Here is a 21682-nt window from a genome sequence, read left to right as displayed (position 1 = left end):
CCTCTTCAAATTTGGCGAAGCATCTGTGAGGCATTTTACACTGCCAACCATGCTCACTTCTTTGAATACTCCCCACCCTCCCTGACTTGACTTCTATGATAGTAGTTTTTCCTGGGTTTTCTTATTGTTTAAATGATGGCCTGTCTATCTTTGGTAATTGTCCTATCCTTTAAAAGTTGCTTTCTCAGTTTGTATTATTGATTCTCTTACTTCTCTGTGTACCCTCAATGAATGATCTCATTCACTCTTGGCTTCATTTGCCATCTCTAAGATCATCATTCTCAATTGTTTCTGAATTGCAGATTACATTTACACTGACCACTAGAAATTTCCACTTTTATATCCTGGAGGAATTTCAAGATAGGCAAAAATGAAAATATTATCTTGTCTTTCTATTTCTGCCTCAAAATACTACAGCTTCTATTGTCTTATCTACTGTAATGGCAGGGTGCCTGCATTATCTATATTTAGTGTCTACTACAAGAAGTTTTAATGATCTATACCACATAGGTGATATGGTTTTCACAGTTTCCTCTGTATTTTTTTTTTAAGTCACATGGACTGTGGGGCTGAGATAGGGGGATTTCCAGAATCTTTAGAGGCTTGATAATAATGGAGAAGGCCAGAATTTCCCATTTTTCTCAGCTTCTCTTACACATGCTGCAAAAGAACCTGGTTATGGGAGAGTTAATTGAGAATTGACTGTCTCTCTTATTTCTGAAATCAATTATGAACCAAGGGGATAAACACTCAAATTTTTGTATTTCAGGGTTCTGGTTTACATCAAGTTTCTAAAAGGCAACAGGTGGATCAACTGCCTAGGATGCAAGAGAATCTAGTGAAAACGTAAGTCTAGCTATATATTTTCTTTCTAATTCGTTACATTTGCACATAAATGCCACTGACAAAACAGGTGTCCACTATATTTTGGAAGCTGAACTTCTAGGTTTTATAGCAACAATATAAAATTGCATATGGTAAGAGAACTTAAAGAAGTTGTGATCTGTTCCACTATTTATACACATTTTTTTTAGATCCCAGATACATTTTTGGTCCTCAAGCACGATAATATATTATTATATTATTTTTTAAACTAAAATAATATGTACCTAGGAGAACTTAAAACTACACCATTAACAACAACATAAACACAGGCATACCTTGGAGATATTATGGGTTTGGTTCCGGATCACTGTAATGAAGCAAGTATCACGATGAAGTGAGTTACACAAATTTTGGGGTTTCTTAGTATATATAAAAGTTTTTTTTATACCATTACTGTAGTCTATTAAGTATGCAATAGCATTATGTCTAAAAACAATGTAAATACCTTACTTTTAAAAGATTTTATGCTGAAAAATGCTATTGATCATTTGAGCCTTCAGTGAGTTATAATCTTTTTGCTGGTGGAGGGTCTTGCCTCAATGTTGATGGCTCCTGATGGATCAGGGTGGTGGTTGCTGAAAGCTGAAGTGCCTGTGGCAAATTTTGAAAATAGGGCAACAACGAAGTTTGCTGCACCGATTGACTCTTTTATGAAAGATGTCTCTGTCATATGTGTTGTGGTTTGATAGCATTTTACCCACAGTAGAAATTCTTTCAAAATTGGCATAGTCCTTTCAAACTCTGCTGCTGATTTATCAACCAAGTCCATAGAATATTCTAAATCCTTTGCTGTCATTTCAAAAATGACATCACAGCATCTTTACCAGGAGCAGATTTCATCTAAGAGACCACTTTCTTTGCTCATCTGTAAGAAGCAACTCCTCATCCATTCAAATTTTATCATGAGATTGCAGCAAGTCAGTCACCTCTTCAGGCTCTACTTCTAATTCTAGTTCTCTTGCTGTTTCCAAAACATCTACAGTACTTCCTCCACTGAAGTCTTGCACCCCTCATAGTCATCTGTGAGGGTTGGAATCAACTTCTTCCAAACTTCTTTTAATGTTGACATTTTTCTACCTCCTCCCATAAATCACAAATGTTCTTAGTGGCATCTAGAATGATGAATCCTTTCCAGAAGGTTTTCTTCCAGACCCATCAGAGGAATCACTATCTATGGCAGGTATAAACTTATGAAATGTATTTCTTAAATAATAAGACTTGAAAGCTAAAATTACTCCTTGATCCATGGGCAGCAGAATAGATGTTATGTTAGCAGGCATTTAAACAGCATTTATCTTCTTGTGTATCTCCCACAGAGTTCTTGGATGTAACCAGGTACATTCTCAAAAAGTAGTAATATTTTGAAAGGAATCTTATTTTCTGAGCAGTAGGTCTCAACACTGGGCTTAAAATATTCAATAAACCATGCTGTAAACTCTAAACTCTTGTGCTGTCATCTGGGCTTTGTTGTTTCATGTATAGAGTACAGGAAGAGTAGGTTTAGCATAATTCCTAGGATTTTCAGAATGGTAATTGAGCATTAGCTTCAACATAAACTCACTGGCTGCATTAGACAAGTCAACCTGTTTTTTGATGCTTTGAAGCGAGGCATTGTCTTCTCCTCTCTAGCTAGGAATGTCTGGGTGATATGGCTTTCACAGTTTCCTCCATATATATTTTTTTAAAAGTCACATGGACTGTGGGGCTGAGATAGGGGTATCTCCAGAATCTTTAGAGGCTTGATAATAATGGAGAAGGCCAGAATTTCCCACTTTTCTCAGCTTGCATCTTTTTCCAACAGAAGGCTGTTTTGTGTACATTGAAAATCTGTTGGTTAGTGTAATCACCTTCATCAGTGATCTTAGCTAGTTCTGGGTAACTTGCTGCAACACATAAGACATATTTAATTCCTCCAGCAAAAAATTGCAGCAACAGGTGTGACATCAGCACTTACTGCTTCACTTGGCATTTTTATGTTATGAAGGGGGCTTCTTTCCTTAAACCTCATGAACCATCCTCTGCTGGCTTCCAGCTTTTCTTCTGCAGCTTTCTCACTTCTCTCAGCCTTCATAGAATTGAAAGGATTTAGGGTCTTACTCTTGATTAGGTTTTGGCTTAAGAGAATATTGTGGTTTCTTTGGTCTTCTATCCAGACCACTCACACTTTTTCCATATCAGCAAGAAAGCTGTTTTGCTTCCTTATCATTTGTGTGTTCACTAGAGTGGTGCTTTTAATTTCTTTTAAGAATCTTCCCTTTGCATTTATGCCTTGGCTTAACTGTTTGGCACAAGAGGCCTAGCTTTCAGCCTGTCTCAGCTTTCAACATACCTTCCTCACTAAATGACTAAGCTTATCATTTCTAGCCAAATTAAAGTGAGAGATGTGCAACTCTTCCTTCTACTTCAACACCATAGTAGGGTTATTAATTGGCCTAATTTCAATAGTGTTGTGTCTCAATGAATAGAGAAGCCCAAAGAGAGGGAGAGAGACCCAGGAATGGCTGGTTGGTAGAGCAGTCAGAACATACATACCTTTATTAAACAGTTTGCTGTTTTATATGGGCTTGGTTTATGGCTCCCCAAAACAATTACAGTAGTAACATCAAAGATCACTGATCACCATTAACGGATATAGTAATAATTTAAAAGTTTGAAATATTGTGAGAATTACCAAAATATGATGCAGATAGGAAATGAACATATGCCATTGGAAAAATAGTGCTGATAGACTTGCTTAACACAGGGGTGCCACAAATCTTCAATTTGTAAAAAATGCAGTATCTTTGAAGCACAATAAAGTGAAGCATAATAAGACAAGGTATGCCTGAATAATTACAGCATCAGCCCTACCCTTTTTAGTCAGGAAATATGTTCACTGGAGTGGACACCAAAATAAACGTAGGTGACAGTGCAGTTTAAACTGTTTTTTCTATGTAAATAAAACCAATTTAAGATAGATAAAGAACAGAGGGCTTGGTGCAGTGGCTCATGCCTATCATACAACATTTTGGGAGGCTGAGGCGGGAGGATTGCTTGAGGCCTCAAGTTCAAGACCAACTTGGGAAACATGGCAAGACTGTCTCTACAAAAAATTAGAAAAATTGACTGGGTGTGATGGTGTGCACTGTAGTCCCAGCTGCTTGGGAGGCTGAGACAGGAGGATCACCTGAGCCCAGGAGTTCAAGGCTGCAGTGAGCCACGATTGCACCACTGCAATCCAGCCTGGTCAGCAGAGCAAGACACTGTCTCTTAAGAAAAAAAAAACAAAAACACAGGAATGTTTTGTGAGTTTACAAGGTTATGTCTACACACAATTTTCCCTGGTCCTGTACTAAATACAGAAGAATTACTCAGGTAATCCTTGTCTGAGTAACTTTATCCCATGTAGGGAAAAACATTAATATATAACTTAACCCTATAAAAAATTAAGCCAACATGTGAATCAGCTATAAGTCAGCATCCTTTTTATATATAGGTCAAGGTAAGAGCCACTCAAGTATAGCAAATTTCCTTGGTGGAGATTAATGAGGTAGCAACATTTTGTCCAATATTTGGCTAGATAAAGTATATTCTTTCTTGAATAGTCAAATTCTTTAAATTATTATTTATTATCTTTATACATTTTCATTATTGGAAATATAATGTAGTTTAAGTATTAAAATAAATTCTGACAAAGGACTTCCCTGGAAAAACTATTACGCCACTGTGTCAGAGTCCCCAAGACCACTCCCATCCATATTCAGTGGTTCACTAGAAGAATTCTATACTGTCAGAGTCCCCAAGACCACTGCCATATTCAATGATGCACTAGAAGAATTCATAAGGATTGGCATATATTTGTACTTATGGCTAATATATATTTCCTTCCTCCCTTCCTTCCTTCCTTCCTTCCTTCTTTCCTTCCTCTCTTTCTTTCTTTTTTTCTTTCTTTCTCTAATCCATGTACCTCACAGGGAATTTATAGCTAAGGAATACAAAGCAAAATCAACAAAGGCATAAGGCACATGGGATGAATTCTCAGAAAACTAGGCTCAAGCTTCCGAAAGTTTTCTCCAAGTTAGGGTCACATAAGAAATACTTAATTCCTCCAGCAAAAAATTGCAACAACAGGTATGACAGTACATGAAGTTTTACCTACCAGAGAAGCTCGTTAGATACTTAGCATCTAATGTTTCTATTGGGAGCAGATCACATAGGCTTCTTCTGCCTGGCATGCACCAAAATTCCAGACTCCCAGAAGGAAAACAGGTGTTCAATATAAACCACATTGTTTGTACAAACAGCATAGGCACAGTGAATCATTCTTTTCATTTGGGAAAAGGTTTATATCTGTGTAGGGAACTGTTTACCAGTAAGTTTCCAGATACCAGCCAAGGGCCAACCTCGCAAGTGGGCTTTTCCAAAGACAGTAGCCTAAAGCCTGCTATGTTGACTTTTCTGCACAACCACCCTAAATATTTTTATTAATATCTTGCAGTTCAGGTTTATTTTCCAATTCATATCTGTTCTAAAAATATATTACCTCTGTTATTCAAATTTGCTTAAATAGTGAAGAGGGGAATATTTCGAAAATGAAAGTTAAACTTCTTTATTCTAATCATATGTTAGCACATACACATATGTGTGTCACCAGAATGTAGGTCTACGAGGGCAGTTTGGTTTTCCATTGAATATTACTGGGAGTTGGATCTCTCAGGGAGTAGACTCTGAAATAGGAATCAGCATGTAGGAAGTTTATTTTACTTATTTATTTATTTATTGAGATGGAGTTTAGCTCTTGTTGCCCAGGCTGTAGTGCCATGGCGCGATCTTGGCTCACTGCAACCTCTGCCTCCTGGGTTCAAGTGATTCTCCTGTCTCAGCCTCCCGAGTAGCTGGGATTACAGACACATGCCACTGTGCTTGGCTAATTTTGTATTTTTAGTAGAGACAGGGTTTCTTCATGTTGATCAGGCTGGTCTCGAACTTCCGACCTCAGGTGATCCGCCTGCCTTGGCCTTCCAAGGTGCTGGGATTACAGGCATGAGCCACCGTGCCTGGCCTTATGTATTTATGTATTTATTTTGAGATGGAGTCTTGCTCTGTCACCCAGGTTGAAGTGCAGTGGTGCAATCTCTCTGCTCACTGCAAATTCTGCCTCCTGGATTCAAATTATTATTCTGCCTCAGCCTCCCAAATAGCTGAGATTACAGGTGTGTGCCACCATTCCTGGCTAATTTTTGTACTTTTAGTAGAGACAGGGTTTCGCCATGTTGGCCAGGCTGGTCTCGAACTCCTGACCTCAAAAGATCCTCCCGCCTTGGCCTCCCAAAGTGCTGAGATTACAGGCATGAGCCACTGCACCTGGCCAGGAAGTTTATTAGCGAGAGTTCTTAGGATCAACACCTGTGGGGGAAGGCTAGGAACCAGGTTTGGGCAGAGGGAGTAGGGCTATAGCGCAGCTGCAGTCCCATGTACCAAGCTGATTTATCCATGACTCAAGTATGGGCCTTTTCTTCCTCTGGCAGGATGACCCAGACTCTTATCCCTGGGGAATCTGAACTTCTGTTTATCATGTCCTTTCCAAGTCATGGCTAAGATACTTGTCCACTTACTGTCAGAATTGGGCAAGTTACTACCAAAGGACAACCAAGTAGATCACCTGGGTGCCAAACTCATTCCTCCCCACCCCCTTATGTAGCAGCAGCTATGAATCAGGCTGAGATCAGGTTGTCTGTGAGGCCCTCCACACCACAGGTCTGAACTGAGCTTAAGGTGCTGGTGCATCGAGGTAGGTGGCATGGTCTGGTATACCTGCCCATTCAGCTGCTTTGTGCCCTCCAGCACTGCTTGTGCTTGATCCCAGATCAATCACTTCCATCTCTGATGAAACTTAATGTTGAATAGAGTGCCTGGCATAAATTGGTGTTTAATAATTTTTGAATGAATTTATGACTAAATAAATGGTCAAATGGAAAAAAAAAACCCGTTCACTCTCTGAAACTATAAACAATGCAAATCACTCATCTAATAGAAACATAGAAATATCTCTCTAATCATCCAAATTAGGTATATATAATTGGTACTACCTCAAAATATTGTTTTTCTTACTGGCTTAACTCTGGAAGTTAGTATCCTCCTTTTGTTGATGACTCAAATTTGAGTCTTTAAAGGAAGTCACGGTATTAGGCACCTCACAGAATGGGATATCCAAATGGCCAAAGGACATGTGAAGAGAGACTCAACACCATTACTCATCAGCAGAATGCAAATTAAAATTACAAGATACAGCCACAAATTTTGAAGATTGATGATTCCAAGTGTTGTCAAGGATGTGGAGGAATAGGGGATTCTCATACATTGCTAGTAGGAGTATACATTTATATAACCACTTTGGAATATTGTATTAGTTTGTTTTCACACTGCTATAAAGAACTACCTGAGACTGGATAATTTATGAAGAAAAGAAGTTTAATTGAATCACAGTCCCGCAAGCTGTGTAGGAAACATGTTTGGGGAGGCCTCAGGAAACTTACAACCATGGTGGAAGGGCGAAGGGGAAGCAAGTGCCTTCTTCACATGGCAGAGCAGAAGAGAGAGTGAATGGGGAAGTGCTACACATTTTCAAACAACCAGATTTCGTGAGAACCCACTATCACCAGGACACTAAGGGGGAGGTCCGCCCCCAGGATCAAATTATCTCCCACTGGGTCACTCCCCCAGCACCAGGGATTACAATTCAACATGAGATTTGGGTTGGGGACAAAGGGCCAAACCATATCAAATACATTTTAGCATTATTTTCTATATTTAGCTGATCATATACCTTCTCTATAACCCAACAATTCCAGTAATATATCAAATAGAATGGTGCATACATTTACACCAAAAGAACAAGAATGTTCATAGCAGCTTTATTCTTGACAGTTCAAAACTGAATACAGCTTAAATGTCCATCAGTAATGGAATGGATGAAAATTATATATACATATATGAAAATAACAGCAATAAAAACAAACTATAACTCATACAACATTATGGATAATTCTCAGTATTGAGTGAAGTAGGTCAGAAATAAAAGAATATGTACAATGTGATCCCATTCATTTAAAGTTCAAAGACAGACAAAAGTAAACTGTGATGTCAGAACACAGGCTAGTAATTATTAATACCAATGGAAAGGAAGAAGTGAATAATAATTGTGACATGATGGCATCTTCCAGTATGATGATAATATTCTAGTGCTTGACCTAAGTTGTGGTTACATCAGTATTTGCTTTATTATAATTTATGGATTGGTACATTTATGATTTGTGAACTTTTAATCAAGTCTCCATGGCTTTTAATGTTTGCTTTGGTTGATATTCTCATATGTACTAATATTAAAATATTGACTTACCCATTTTTCCTAACATTCAGAACAAATCAGAACATTAGAAAATACCCATATGAATGTGAAATTCTCTTTTAAAAATCTAGCAGAAAGGGATAGTGCCTGATATAATATTAACTATTATAGTCCTACTATATAGACTATGTAGATTTAATATTAGCTATTATAGTCCTACTGTGTAGACATAATACTATGTATTATGACCACAAATGAACAAGATATCTATACTGCTGTTGAAGGATGTATTCTAGAGATCTTTACATATATCAATTGGACAAAAGTCTCTTTAAGATTAAATAGGAGAAACAGTCTTTTTAGTATAAGTTTTGTAAGTTGCCAAAAAAGTCTAGACAAGTCAATAGGTAACTTTATTGACTGTCGCCCATGGTGTGTATTAACTATGAAAAATCATATTCCCGAAAGCAAGGAGCTCAAAACTGATACCACAGGAATAGTTCCTAAAAATAGAAAACTAAAGTTTATTTTTTTCTTTAGTGTGAAACCTCATTTTTTTCTGCTTATGAACAGTTTTAAAGTGACTAAAAGCCCTAAAGGAAGAAAATAACTAAGGAGCCATTGGTACCCTGGAGCAAAAGAACCTGAGGGAAATTGATACTAGGACTTGGTAAGAGACAGATTGTTAGGGGCGTATCCTTCTGATTCTGATTTTTTTAAAAAGCAGCTACAGTAGAGATAACACAACCAAAATATCCAACATTAAAAGAGTAAGTCAATAACTCTGTTGATATTAGGAAGTTGCAAAAATTACATTCTAGGAGAGTACATAGCTGACATAGAAAAACGCTTACCTATAATAGTAAACAAAAATTATAGTACAAAATAGGTTAGTAAAATTGTGGATGATTTATATTTATGCCTCTTAGGTTTTATATAAGAATATGTATACTTTATAATTATTTTAAATAATTTTATATTAAAAGAGAAAAGTCAAGAGATAGTCCAGATAGACTATGGAAATTCTTAAGTCATAATAGCAGTATAAATACTGTGTAACTAATACAGTACAGTGTTTAAAAAAATAGTGAGAAGCAAGGTGGTACAGTAGTCCTCTCTTACCCAAGAGAGATACATTCCAAAGACCACCAGTGGATACCAAAACCATGGATAGTACTGCACCCTGTGTATGCTAAGTTTTTTTACATACATAGATATCTATGATAAAATTAAATTTACAATTTAGGCATAGGAAGAGATTAGCAGTAACTAATAATACAACTTAATTATAACAGCATACTGTAATAAAAGTTATATGAATGTGGTGTCTCTCTCTCTCTCAAAATAGCTTATTGTACCATAATCACCTATTTTGGGACCATGGCTGACCACAGGAAACTGAAACTGGAAAGTAAAACCATGGATAAAGGGGGGACAAGTGTAAATGAAAATCGGCACTGACTTTGGAGCAGATAGACCAATCAATTTTTGCCTCCATTTCTTATTATTTAATGTGACTTTATATAAGTAACCACTCTCAGATTCCATTTTCTCCCCCATAAGATGAAGAGATGAAACCCAAAATGAATGATTGGTATGAGAATTAGAGATTATTTTTAAAAATCCCTAATTCAACAAACACTAACTATTATCATTACTATAGTGCTTTACTGAATATAAAGAATCAGCAGAGTAACAATGTATTGATTTGTGAGGACAGAAAAATACATATGACAATAATTTGGAACTGCAAGTGTCTGTTTTGCTATTAATAACATAAACTTGCTGGAGGCTTAACCACTATTATTTATTTAAAAATCATAATACTCAGGAGCATAGAATGGTTTCCAAACTGTGTTGACCATGACTGACACCATATTGTGATCCCTATACCCACATATATATTCACATATTTTACAGTTTATGAAAGAATATTTTCTCTTACTATGTGTGATGCATATTGATACTTCTTTTTCTGTTTTTTTTTTTTTCTTTTTTTTAAAGAGACAGGTCTTGTGCTGTTGCCCCAGCTACAGTGCAGTGGTACAATGATTGCTCACTTTAACCCTAAACTCCCAGGCTCAAGAGATCCCCCTGCCTCAGCCTCCTGAGTAGCTAGGACTATAGGCATGAGCCACCATGTCCAGCTCATTTTTTGATTTTCTGTAGAGAATATGGACAGGGTCTTGCCATGTTTTTTCAGGCTGGTATTAATCTCCTGGGCTCAAGCAATCTCCCACCTTGGCCTCCTAAAGTGCTGGGATTACAGGCATGAATCACTGCACCTGGCCCCTTTTCTGTTCTTTTTATTAATATATGTTCTTTTTCCTCTTCTGTTCTGTTTCCTTTTCTGTTATTTTTATATTGCTATTGTAATTCAGTAAATCAATCCACTAATGAGTTGCATTCTGCAGTTTGGAAAACACTGCTCTAAAAGACAGTGATTAAATATCTTTTACCAGTGAAGTACCTCAGCTTCATCATTAGTGTCATTAGTTAGTTATTATTCAGACACTTGTGTCATCATGTTAGTTAGATCTTTTAGAAATGGGCCATATTTTGGAAGCTACTCAAAACATCCTTAGTGTAATAGAAAATCATTTAGTACTATAAATAATAAATATCTATAATGAGCTATATTAATTAGACATAATAATTGAATGATTGTGGTTAATTCCATATTTCACCAGAAGAAATCATTTTTAAACATGATTAATAAACTAAAGAAAATTTTAACAGGAAATGGATTATTCCCAAAGCACATTTAAAAAAATTTTTTAATTGAGATATTATTCACATACCAAAAAAATTATCCTTTTAGCCTACAGCTCTGTATCCTTAGCACTTTGGAAGGCCAAGGCAGGACAATCACTTGAGCCCAGGAGTTGAAGGCTGCCGTGAGCTATGTTCGTGCCACTGCATTGCAGCTTGGGCAACAGAGCCAGACCCCATTTAAAAACTTTTTTAAAATAAAAATAATAAAGTGTACAACTCAGTGATTTTTCGTATATTCATGGGGTCATGCAAGCATCACCACTAACTGATTCCAGAACATTTTCATCACCCCAAAAAGAAAGCCTGTATGAATGAGCAGTTAGTTCCCAAACCCCCTTCCACTAAACTCCTGGCAATTACTAATCTGCTTTCTGTTTTTATGGTTTTCTCTGGTCTTGTTATTTCATATACAGTCAGTCATGTGTCCCTTAATGATGGGGACATGTTGTGAGAAGTGTGTCATAAGGCAATTTTGTCATTGTGCAAACATCAGAGTGCGCTTACAAAAACCTAGATGGTAGATCCTACTTCACACCTAGCTATATGGTATAGCCTCTTGCTCCTAAGTTACAAACCTGTACAGCATATTACTGTAGGGAACACTCTGACAATTGTAACACAATGGTAAGTATTTGTGTATCTAAACATAGAAAAGGTACAGTACAAATACAGTATTATAATCTTACAGGAATACTGTCATATATGCAGTCCATTGCTGACTGAAATGTTATGTGGCACATTTCCAACTGTAAATGGGAGCATACAATATGTGAATTTGGGTGTTTACCTTCTGCTGCTTAATATAACATTTTCATGGTTCATCCATGTTGGAACATATACGAATTCCTTATTCCTTTCTGTGACAGAGTAATATTCCAGTTTTTGGATATGCCACATTTTATTTACCGAATCATCAGCTGATGAACATTTACATGTTTACACCTCTTCACTATTATGAATAATGCTACTATGAACATCCCTGTACAAGTTTTGTGTGCAAATATTTTTAATTCTCTTTGGTGCATGCCTAGAAGTGGAATTGCTGGGTTAATTCCATTTTGTTTATCTTTTTGAGGAACTGCCAAGCTATTTTCTATAGTGGCTGTACCATTTTATATTCCCATTAGCTGTGTATCAGGGTTCCAATTTCTCCACATCCTTATCAACACATGTTGTCCTTTATTTAAAAAAATTTAACCATCCTAGTGGATGTGAAGTGATATCTTACTGTGGTTTTGATTTGCACTTTCCTAATGACTAATGATGTTGAAATCTTTTCTTGTACTTGTTGGCCATTTCTATACAGATAGCCTTCCATATCCACAAATTCTGCATCCATGAATTCAACCAACTGTGGATCAAAAAAAATTGGGGAAAATAATAATAATAATAATACAATAATAATAAATAATTTTTAAAAACCCAACAAAGTATAACATCTATTTATATAGCATTTACTTTTGTGTTAATGTAATCTAATGTTAAGTAATCTAGAGATGATTTAAAGTATACTGGATTATGTGTGTACATTATGTGGAAATATGACACCGTTTTATGTAAGGGACTTGAGCATCTGTGAATTTTGGTATCCATGGGGGTCCTGGAACCAATCACCCTTGGATGTAGAGGGACAACTGTATCTTCTTTGGAGAAATGTCTATTCAAGTCCTTTGCCTATTATTAAATTGGTTTGTTTGTCTCTATTATATTGCATTGAGAGCATTTTATATTCTGAGTATGAGACCTTATCAGATAAAAGATTTATAATTTTTTCCCATTCTATGGATGGTATTTTTATTTTCTTGATGATATCTTTAGAAACACAAAAGTTCTCAATTTTGATAAAGACCATCATCTACTTTTTCTTGCTTGCTTGTGTGTTAGGTGTCATACATAAGAAGTCATTGCCTAACCTATGTTTTCTTCTAAGAGTTTTATAGTTTTAGCTCCCTTTTCACCCATTTTGAGTTCATTTTTGTATATGATGTGAGGTAGGCGTCCAGTTTCACTCTTTTGCCTGTATTTATTCAGTTGTCCTAACACCATAGGTTGAAGACACTATCCTTTGCCAATTAAATGCTCTTGGCACTCTTGTAAAAAAACAATTGACCGTAACATATGGGTTTACTCTTAGACTCCCAGTTGTGTTTCATTGATCTATAACTCTATCCTTATGCCAATACCATACTGTCTGGATGACTAACTTTTTAGTGAGTTTAAAATCAAGAAGTGCGAGTACTCCAATTTTATTGTTCTTTTTCAAGATTGTTTTGGTTATTCAGAGTCCCTTTTATTTCCATGTGGATTTAGGATCCACTTGTCAATTTCTTCACAAAATATAGCTGGTGTTTTGATGGAGAGAGTATGTTGAATCTGTAGATCACTTTGGGTAGTGTTGCCATCTTAACAATATTAAGTCTTCTAATCCAAGAACATGAATTTCTTTCTATTCATTTAGATCTTCTTTAATTTCTTTCATAGATATTTTATAGATTTTAGTGTACAAATCTTGCAATTCTTTGGCTAAATTTATTCCTAAAACTGTATTCTTTTTGATGCAGTTTGAAACAGAATTAAGTTTTAAATTTCATTTTAGGACTGTATATTGCTGGTGTCTAGAAATACAGTTGATTTTTGCATATTGATCTTAAATCCAGAAACCCTGAGGAACTTATTAGATCTCATAAATGCATGTATGTGTCTGTGTCTGTATGTGAATGTGTATGCCTTAGTATTTTCTATATATAAGAACATGTCACCTAAATAGAGATTGTTTTACTTCTTTTTTTTTTCTTCTAATTTGGATGCCTTTTATCTATTTTTCTTGCCTAATTGCCCTGGCTGGAACCTCCTATACAATGTTGAATAGAAGTGGTAATAGTGAACATCCTTAACTTGTTCCTTATCTTAGAGAGAAAGCTTTTGGTTTTTACATTAAATATAATGTTAGCTGTAAATTTTGTTCATAGATTTTCTTTATCAGGTTTAGTGCTTAGAGAGAAATTTATGGCCGTAAATATATTTTTAAATAAATCATTTCAAATAAAAAATCAAATCTTTTACCTTAAGAAACTTGAAAAAGAGGAGCAAACTAAACCCCAAATAAGCAGAAAGAAGAAAATAAGAGTAATATTTGCCTCATAAAATAAGTTGGAAGGTGTTCTCTCCTATTTCATTTTTATGAAGTGCGTGTGAAGGATTGGTTTTATATATGTATGATTTAATATGTGGTAGAATTTACCAGCGAAGCCATCTGGTCTTGGTCTCAGTGGTTGCCTGGGAATTACAATTAAGATATTAATTTATAACAATCTACTTTAGGTTCAAAACAACTTAATTTCAATAGTGTACCAAAAGTTCTTTCCTATGTAGCTCCATTCCCTTCACCTTCTTTGTGCTGTTATTGTCATACAAATTACAAGTTTATACATTTTGTTTCCATCAACAGATTTACAATTATTGCTCATGCAGTTATTTTCTTAATCAGTTAGGAGATTTAAAAAGAAGAATTACAAACAAAAACTACATTTATCCTATTTTTATGTTTACCTATGTAGTTATCTTTGCCAGTTTTCTTTATTTCTTCATGTGAATTTACACTTCTATCAAATGTCCTTTTATTTCAACACAAAAGTCTCTACTATTTTTTTATAGGGCAGGTTTGCTGATGATTAATTCCTTCTGTTTTTGCTTATCTGGAAATGTTTAATTTTTCTTTTATTTTAGAAGGATAGTTTTGTTGCATATAGAATTCTTAGTTGAAAGTCTTTTTCCTTATAGCACTTTAAATATTTCATCTCCCTGTCTTCAGGCCTTCATAGTTTCTGATGAGAAATCAGTTGTTACTCCTATTGAAGATCCCTTTTACAGAGTGAGTTGCTTCATTCTAGCTGCTTTCAAGATTCCCTGTTTGTATTGGCTTTTGATAGTTTTATTATGATGTGTCTGGATATTCATCTTGGAATTTGTTAGGCTTCTTAAATTTGTAGATCAATATTTTTAATGAAATTTGGGAAATTTTTAGCTATTATTTTTCAAATATTCTATCTGTCCTTTTCTTTCCCCTCTCCTTCTGGGACACTCATTATACATATGTTGGTATAGTTGATAGTGTTTTACAGGTCTCTGAGACTGTTCAGTTTTCTTTAGTGGGGGCCGCCATAGGCTCTTCGCCCCTGAAGTTTGCTAAAAATCACAGACATGAATCATATTTATTAATAGGAGAAAAGGCACACAGATTTATTTAATATGTATACATGGGAGTCTTCAGAATGAAGACCCAACTTCCCAATGAGTTATAGAAACTTATATACCATTTTGAGGTTACAGAAAGAGTGGGGGCTTAGATTCTGATTTTAAAAAAGGTTTTGGGAGCAGGGAGAAAAGGTTTGGCGAACAAAGGTGGACTTTTTATGTAGATGAAGCCACCCTCAGAGAGAATAGATGGTAAATGTTTCTTCTCAGACTTTTAAATGTGTCAGACTTTCAGTCTCTCCTAGATCTGGGGAAAAGCATAGAAAGGAGAGGTGGCACAGTTGCATTAGTGGAGATTCTCCACATTAATGCAAACTTTCCCACTTAAGACAGCTTTGTAAGGCCATTTCTGCCTGCTGGCCAAGAGACTGACATTTTAAAATATGTCAAAGAAATATATTTTGGGGGAAAATATTTTAATTTCCTTCACTTTATTCTTTGTTATCTCTTGCTCAAACCAGACGATCTTAATTGACAAATCTTTAACTTCATTGACTCTTGTGTCTGCTCCAATCTGCCGTTGAGCTCTTCTAGTGAATTCTTCATTGCATTTATATTCTTTTTCAACTCCAGAATGCCTATTTGGTTCTTTTTAAATAATTTCTATCTCTTATTAGTATTCTTGATTTGGTGAGACATCATTCTCATAATTTCCTCTATAGATATGATTTCCTTTAGTTCTTTAAAATAGTAGATTTAAAGTCTTTCTCTATTAAGTCTAACATCTGGACTTCCTCAGGGAAAGTGTTTATTTGTTGCTTTTTTTCTTGTATAAGAGCCATGTTTTCTTGTCTCTTCTCATATATTGTAATTTTGTTTTGAAAACTGGATGTTTTAAAATATGTAACATGGCCACTCTGTATATTAGTTTCTTTCCCCTCCCCAGGGTTTGTTGTTGTCACTGTTTTTGCTGCTGCTTGTTTAGTGACTTTTCTAAAATAATTATGTAAAATCTGTATTCTTTGTTGGGGTGGACACTGAAGTCTCTGCTGAGTTAGCTTAGGGGTCAGCTAATGATTGAACAGATTTATTTAAATGCCTAGCATCAATAAATCTCCTAGCCTTTGCTGATGGGCTCTGTGTGTGTGTGTTGGAGCATGCCTTCAACAGTCGGCCAGGCAAATTACAACTCTACCTTATTCTTTACTTCCTGCTTGTGCAGAGCCTCAAGGTCAGCCAGAGGCAAGAGCTTAGGGCCTTTTCAGGCCTTTCCTGAGTATGCACACAGTCCTATGCATACCCACAGTTACACATGTGTATGGGCTTCTAGATTCCAAGAAATATAATGGAGCTTATTAACACTCATTTCTCAGCTTTTCCTTTTTTTTAGAGACAGAGTCTCACTCTGTTGCCTAGGCTGATCTCGGCTCACTGCAACCTCTGCCTCAGGCTCAAGTGATTCTCATGTCTCAGCCTCCCAACTAGCTGAGATTATAGGCATGCAGCACCATGCCTGGCTAATTTTTTTTTCTTTTTTTGTATTCTTTTTTTTTTTTGAGACGGAGTCTCGCTCTGTCGCCCAGGCCGGACTGCGGACTGCAGTGGCGCAATCTCGGCTCATCTTTTTTTGTATTCTTAGTACAAGTGGGGTTTCATCATACTGGCCAGGCTGGTCTCAAACTCCTGGCCTCAAGTGATCCACCTGCCTCCCTTAGCCTCCCAAAGTGCTGGGATTACAGGTGAGAGCCACTGAGCCTGGCCTCTCAGCTTTTCCTTTTAAGCTTCCTGGTTAGCCTATTTTTTGCCTCAATTGTTATCTACTACCTCTGGCAGCTCTGAAATTAAACAGTGGTTTCTTATTGTTCCAGCAAATGCCCCTAGGGAAAAGGCTATTTACACTGGACCATCTCCATGTCAGGTCAAATAAAGATAGCTTTGTAAGTGGTCTTTCAAGTAATCACCAGACTGTTTAAATAATGAAATTCCTCTTGGAATGAAATAGGTGTTAAAGGATCTCCAACCCTATTCCACCTCTTATGGTGTCCACCAGGCTACTGAGTTTTCACTGCAATTGTGCGCTGTTGGTTTTCAAGGCTACCATGGAGCTGGGGATGAAAGTCAGGGGAACAGTGGATAGGCATAGGGCAAGTTAAAATGCTACAAAGCTCAGTGTTCGAAGTTTCAGCCGTTTGTTGCTGTTGTTGTTATTTTATAAATTCTCCAGGATTGTTGCAACACTTTCGTTAATTTCCAGGGTTTTGATAAAGTTGCTTCTAACCATATTGCCAATTTGTCATCACTTTTATGGAGGAGAGAATTTTATCCTTCATTTTAATGAGGAGAAAATGACAAGTTCTTACATGTTACATATTTTAAAACATCCAGTTTTCAAAACAAAATTACAATATATGAGAAGAGACAAGAAAACATGGCTCTTATACAAGAAAAAAAGCAACAAATAAACACTTTCCCTGAGGAAGTCCAGATGTTAGACTTAATAGAGAAAGACTTTAAATGACTCTGTCATTTTGCTGCCATCACCCCCTAAGAAAGTTTTTAGGAAATTGAAGTGGCCTTTAACTCTCTCAAGTCAGAGTGTAAGGAAGGTTGGCTTTTTAGTGCCACATAAGTCATTAATGGAAAAAGGATCTCATGGAAATCTAAGAAAAGGAATTCACGGATCTGTCTTATCCTCATTAGACAGAACTTTCCACATTAGGGCACCTGACATGCTGCTTCCAGCCTTTGAATTACCTGCCCTTAAGCTGTATGCCTCTGTAGCGGTGGAGATGATGTGCTATAACAGAAGGCTGCCTAAGATTTGCACTGTAAGCAGAAACTATTCACAGGAAGGTTTCCGTGTGAAGGTCTGTTGGGGGGAACAAGGTGCAATATACATTTCTTCCTGTGTGGCCTATAATGTTTTTGTTGTACATAATGGTGACTGAAAAATTATGATTAACACTTATTTATTTCAGTGGAAGATATAATCCAGCTAAGCAGAAGACAGTGAGTGCCAAGAGAGGACCAGTAAAAAAGATTACAAGACCAAACCATCTTCCAGAACTCCATCCATGATTCCAGAACTGGATGGATTTCTATTTCTTCCTTTTTTTTTCCATTTATAATATTCAAGTTATAAAGTTAATGGTCAGCACATTTCTTCAGGGAATAAAATAGATAAGAACTGCCACATTTTTCTTTAGTTCCTTTTCCAGACGTGTGTTCCTTTGTCTGCATAAAAGTAATTTTCTCCAGTGACCCTAAACTATGTAATAGAAGTGCTTGAGAGTTTTAAAATATCCTAGGGAATCTGAAGGCTGGCATCATTACACTTGCTTTCAATAATATACCCATGATCTGCTCTGATAGTAACGTTGCTATTCTATTTGGTTTCTAGTTGACTGTTAGCAAAAAGTGTGTATTCATAAAACCTTTTTGCCATTTTGGGCTGGATCTTGCTCAGTTTTTTAAATTGCAGGTTTAAACAAAGCCGAAAATCAAGTCCATTTTAAGTTTTGACTTGAAATATTATGGTATCGTAGAACAACCTTCAATCTTAAATAAACTTGTTTGTAGTCTCCACTCTGCCATGAACTTAGGAGATCTTGGGCAAGTCCCTTCACCTCATGTTTATTTCCCACACCTGTAAAATGATTGAAGCAAAACTATACACTTTCTGAGGTTTTTACAATTCTAGAAAACCAATATTTATTCAATCATAAGGTCCTACCACTTACTTAACACTGGTGATTTAAGTCATTTTGTGATGTGTGGTAATTCATAGTGATGGACTAATTCTTTAGACCAAACTGCAATTGTTCACAATACTCAAGTCCAGATGTGGAGATAGAATGAGGATAAGAAAAGAGTTCTTTTGAGGCATTTATAAAATGTATTGAATCCTCTCATTCATGGTTAGACTGTTTTTGTCTTTTAGATAGTTTTTGTAACTGTCACCTAGGTCCGGAACATATAACTTATTTGTCCACTTTAATAAGTGAAATCATTGGACTTCAGATTTATAGAAATCACCTAGAGGTAAGTATAGTTTCCAGCTAATGGTGTTCTCACCCTATATCTGGCACTAAACCTAAATTCTATTATGTATCACCAGTAATGAATACCAAGTGCATTTCTGTAACTTCTTCTATAAAAGTTTATTTTCTTTCCTTAAGGAAGAATATATAAATTTCATGTAGCCAAAAATATTTTAAGTAACTTTAAAATGTAATGTGGAAAAATATAAAGTAACTTTCTATAAATCATTCTACATTGGAATTATTTGTAAATATTTTCCCCTATTCTTTAGCTAACTATTAATATTAGGTGCCTTGACCCATATCATTAGACAAACATTAGATTTTTATGTCTTATACCATCTTTCTCAGCATTAGTAGAAAATTAATAATTTAAATAATAATTATAGGCCAGGTGTGGTGGCTCACACCTGTAATCCTAGTACTTTGGGAGGCCAAGGCAGGCAGATCACTTGAGTCCAGGAGTTTGAGACCAGCCTGGCCAACATGGCAAAACTTGTCTCTACTAAAAATACAAAAAATACAGTTAGCCTGGAGTGGTTGTGCATGCCTATAGTCCCAGCTACTCAGGAGGCTGGGGCATGAGAATCACTTGAACCCGGGAGGCAGAGGTTGCAGTGAACTGAGATCATGCCACTGCACTCCAGCTTGGGAGACAGAGCAAGACTCTGTCTCAAAAAAAAAAAAAAACATTATTATAATAATTATAATTATCAATGAAAAATAAACACATTTTTTCCTTACAGAGCTAAGCTATTGTGGGGACTATTGAGGAACATTTAAAGTTATCTCAATCACTGGGATAAAATATCAGTTGAACATCTTATCACAGGGACTCTATTACATTTAAGTGTTGGTTCTGCAGGAGCTACTTTGGGATACTTTTCAGATACCATAAAATGTCTGTATTAAACAGAATGATGGAATGTTGAGAGAGTATAAAGAACTGAAATGAGGGACTCCAAGATCTGTATTCTAATACCAGTTTTGCCACTTATAAGCTTCTGACTTTGGTAAATAACTTCTCATATCCTCAGTTTTATCCTTTATAATTACTGCCTTGAGATTGCTGTGCAGATCAAGGGTACTTACCACATATTTATTTCTTTACTTCTTTATAGTCTCTTTCCCACTAGAAGGGATGTGAATTAGCTTTTACTAATATAGAGGTATCAAAAAATACCTACAAGATAAAAGATGAAAATAAAAATTAAAATTTAGCAAGAATTTCCAACCAAGAAAAGTTTTAGTTTTAAGCTTTCTACCAGTCAGTGCAAAGAAGCAATGACTGCTTTCCTTTGTAGAAGGAATATACAAGTAGAGAAAAAGTTTTATCCAGTTCTAAGCTCTGAAAATAATTTTGTCATAAAGAAAATGCAATTACTGGCTGGACATGGTGGCTCACACCCCCTGTCACTTTGGGAGGGTGAGGCGGGTGAATTGCTTGAGCCCAGGAGTTCCAGACCAGCCTGAGCAACATGGCAAAACTCCATCTCTACAAAAAATACAAAAATTAACCAGTTGTGGTGACACGTGCCTGTAGCCTAGTACTCAGAAGGCTGAGGTGGGAGGATCACTTGAGCCAGGCCAGGAGGTTGAGGCTGCAATGAGCCACTGCACTCCAGCGTGGGCAACAGAGTAAGACCCTGTCTCAAAGAAAAAGAAAAAAAAATCCAATTATTTGTTGCAATAACCACAGCAAAAATGACAGTTTAGGGTCTTTGATACTCAAATATGTATTGACTTCAGTAGTTGTTTTCTTTCATTGGAAAGTTCAGAATTCATAAAGCAAAACCATCAGTAAAACAATATATATTAAAAAATTTAAGATATCTAAATGTATTACAAAATATCAAGACATACCATTTTTAAAAACAAATATTGCCATAATAAAAAAGACAGATCATGAGTATTGACATGAGTGTGAAAAACCTGGAACCCTCATATGTTGCTGGTGGGGATATAAAGTGATACAGCCACTTTGGAAAACTGTCAGTTCCTCAAAAGGTTAAACATAGAGTTACTATATGACACAGCAAGTCTCTTCGGTATATGCCCAAGAAAAATGGAAACCCATGTCCACGTAAAAACATGTACAGGAAGGTTTGTGGCACCATTATTCAAATAGTCAAGAAGTCGAAACAACTCAAATGTTCATCAGCTGATGATTGGGTAAATAAAATGTAGTATATTCCAACAATGGATATTATTTGGCAGTAGAAAGGAATGAAATGCTGATATATGCTGCAACATGGGTAAACCTTGGAAACATTATCCTAAGTGAAATAATGGAATAACAAAAGACCATATATTGCATAATTCCATTTATATGAAATGTCCCAAATAGGCAAATCCATAGAGACAGAAAATAGATCAATAGTTGCTGAGGGTTGGGGGAAGGTCGGTGATGGAGAATGACTGCTAATAGGTACAGGATTCTTTTTTGGAGGGATGAAAATGT

General features: G+C 36.1%; 2 protein-coding genes across 8 annotated transcripts in view; both read left to right on the top strand.

The window, feature by feature from the left end:
• The window catches only part of CCDC169-SOHLH2 (CCDC169-SOHLH2 readthrough), a 129598-nt gene that overhangs the window by 48363 nt on the left and 59553 nt on the right, over nucleotides 1-21682 (top strand). The window contains exon 5 of the mRNA NM_001198910.2: nucleotides 770-846. Within this exon, the coding sequence (NP_001185839.1) occupies nucleotides 770-846 (77 nt within the window). The remainder of the gene's footprint in view (nucleotides 1-769; nucleotides 847-21682) is intronic.
• The window catches only part of CCDC169 (coiled-coil domain containing 169), a 75811-nt gene that overhangs the window by 48363 nt on the left and 5766 nt on the right, over nucleotides 1-21682 (top strand). For 4 of the 7 annotated variants that reach the window (NM_001144984.3, NM_001144983.3, NM_001144982.3 and 1 more), the window contains one exon: nucleotides 770-846. In NM_001144984.3, coding sequence (NP_001138456.1) covers nucleotides 770-846 — 77 coding nt within the window. Of the gene's footprint in view, nucleotides 1-769; nucleotides 847-18159; nucleotides 18678-21682 lie in introns of those variants that run through there. The other 3 variants (NM_001144986.3, NM_001144985.3, NM_001144981.3) reach the window with 1 other exon arrangement.

The sequence above is a fragment of the Homo sapiens genome, chromosome 13 (genome assembly GCF_000001405.40).
Source record: "Homo sapiens chromosome 13, GRCh38.p14 Primary Assembly".
Taxonomy (NCBI): domain Eukaryota; kingdom Metazoa; phylum Chordata; class Mammalia; order Primates; family Hominidae; genus Homo; species Homo sapiens.
This window is presented reverse-complemented; position numbering and strand designations above follow the sequence as displayed.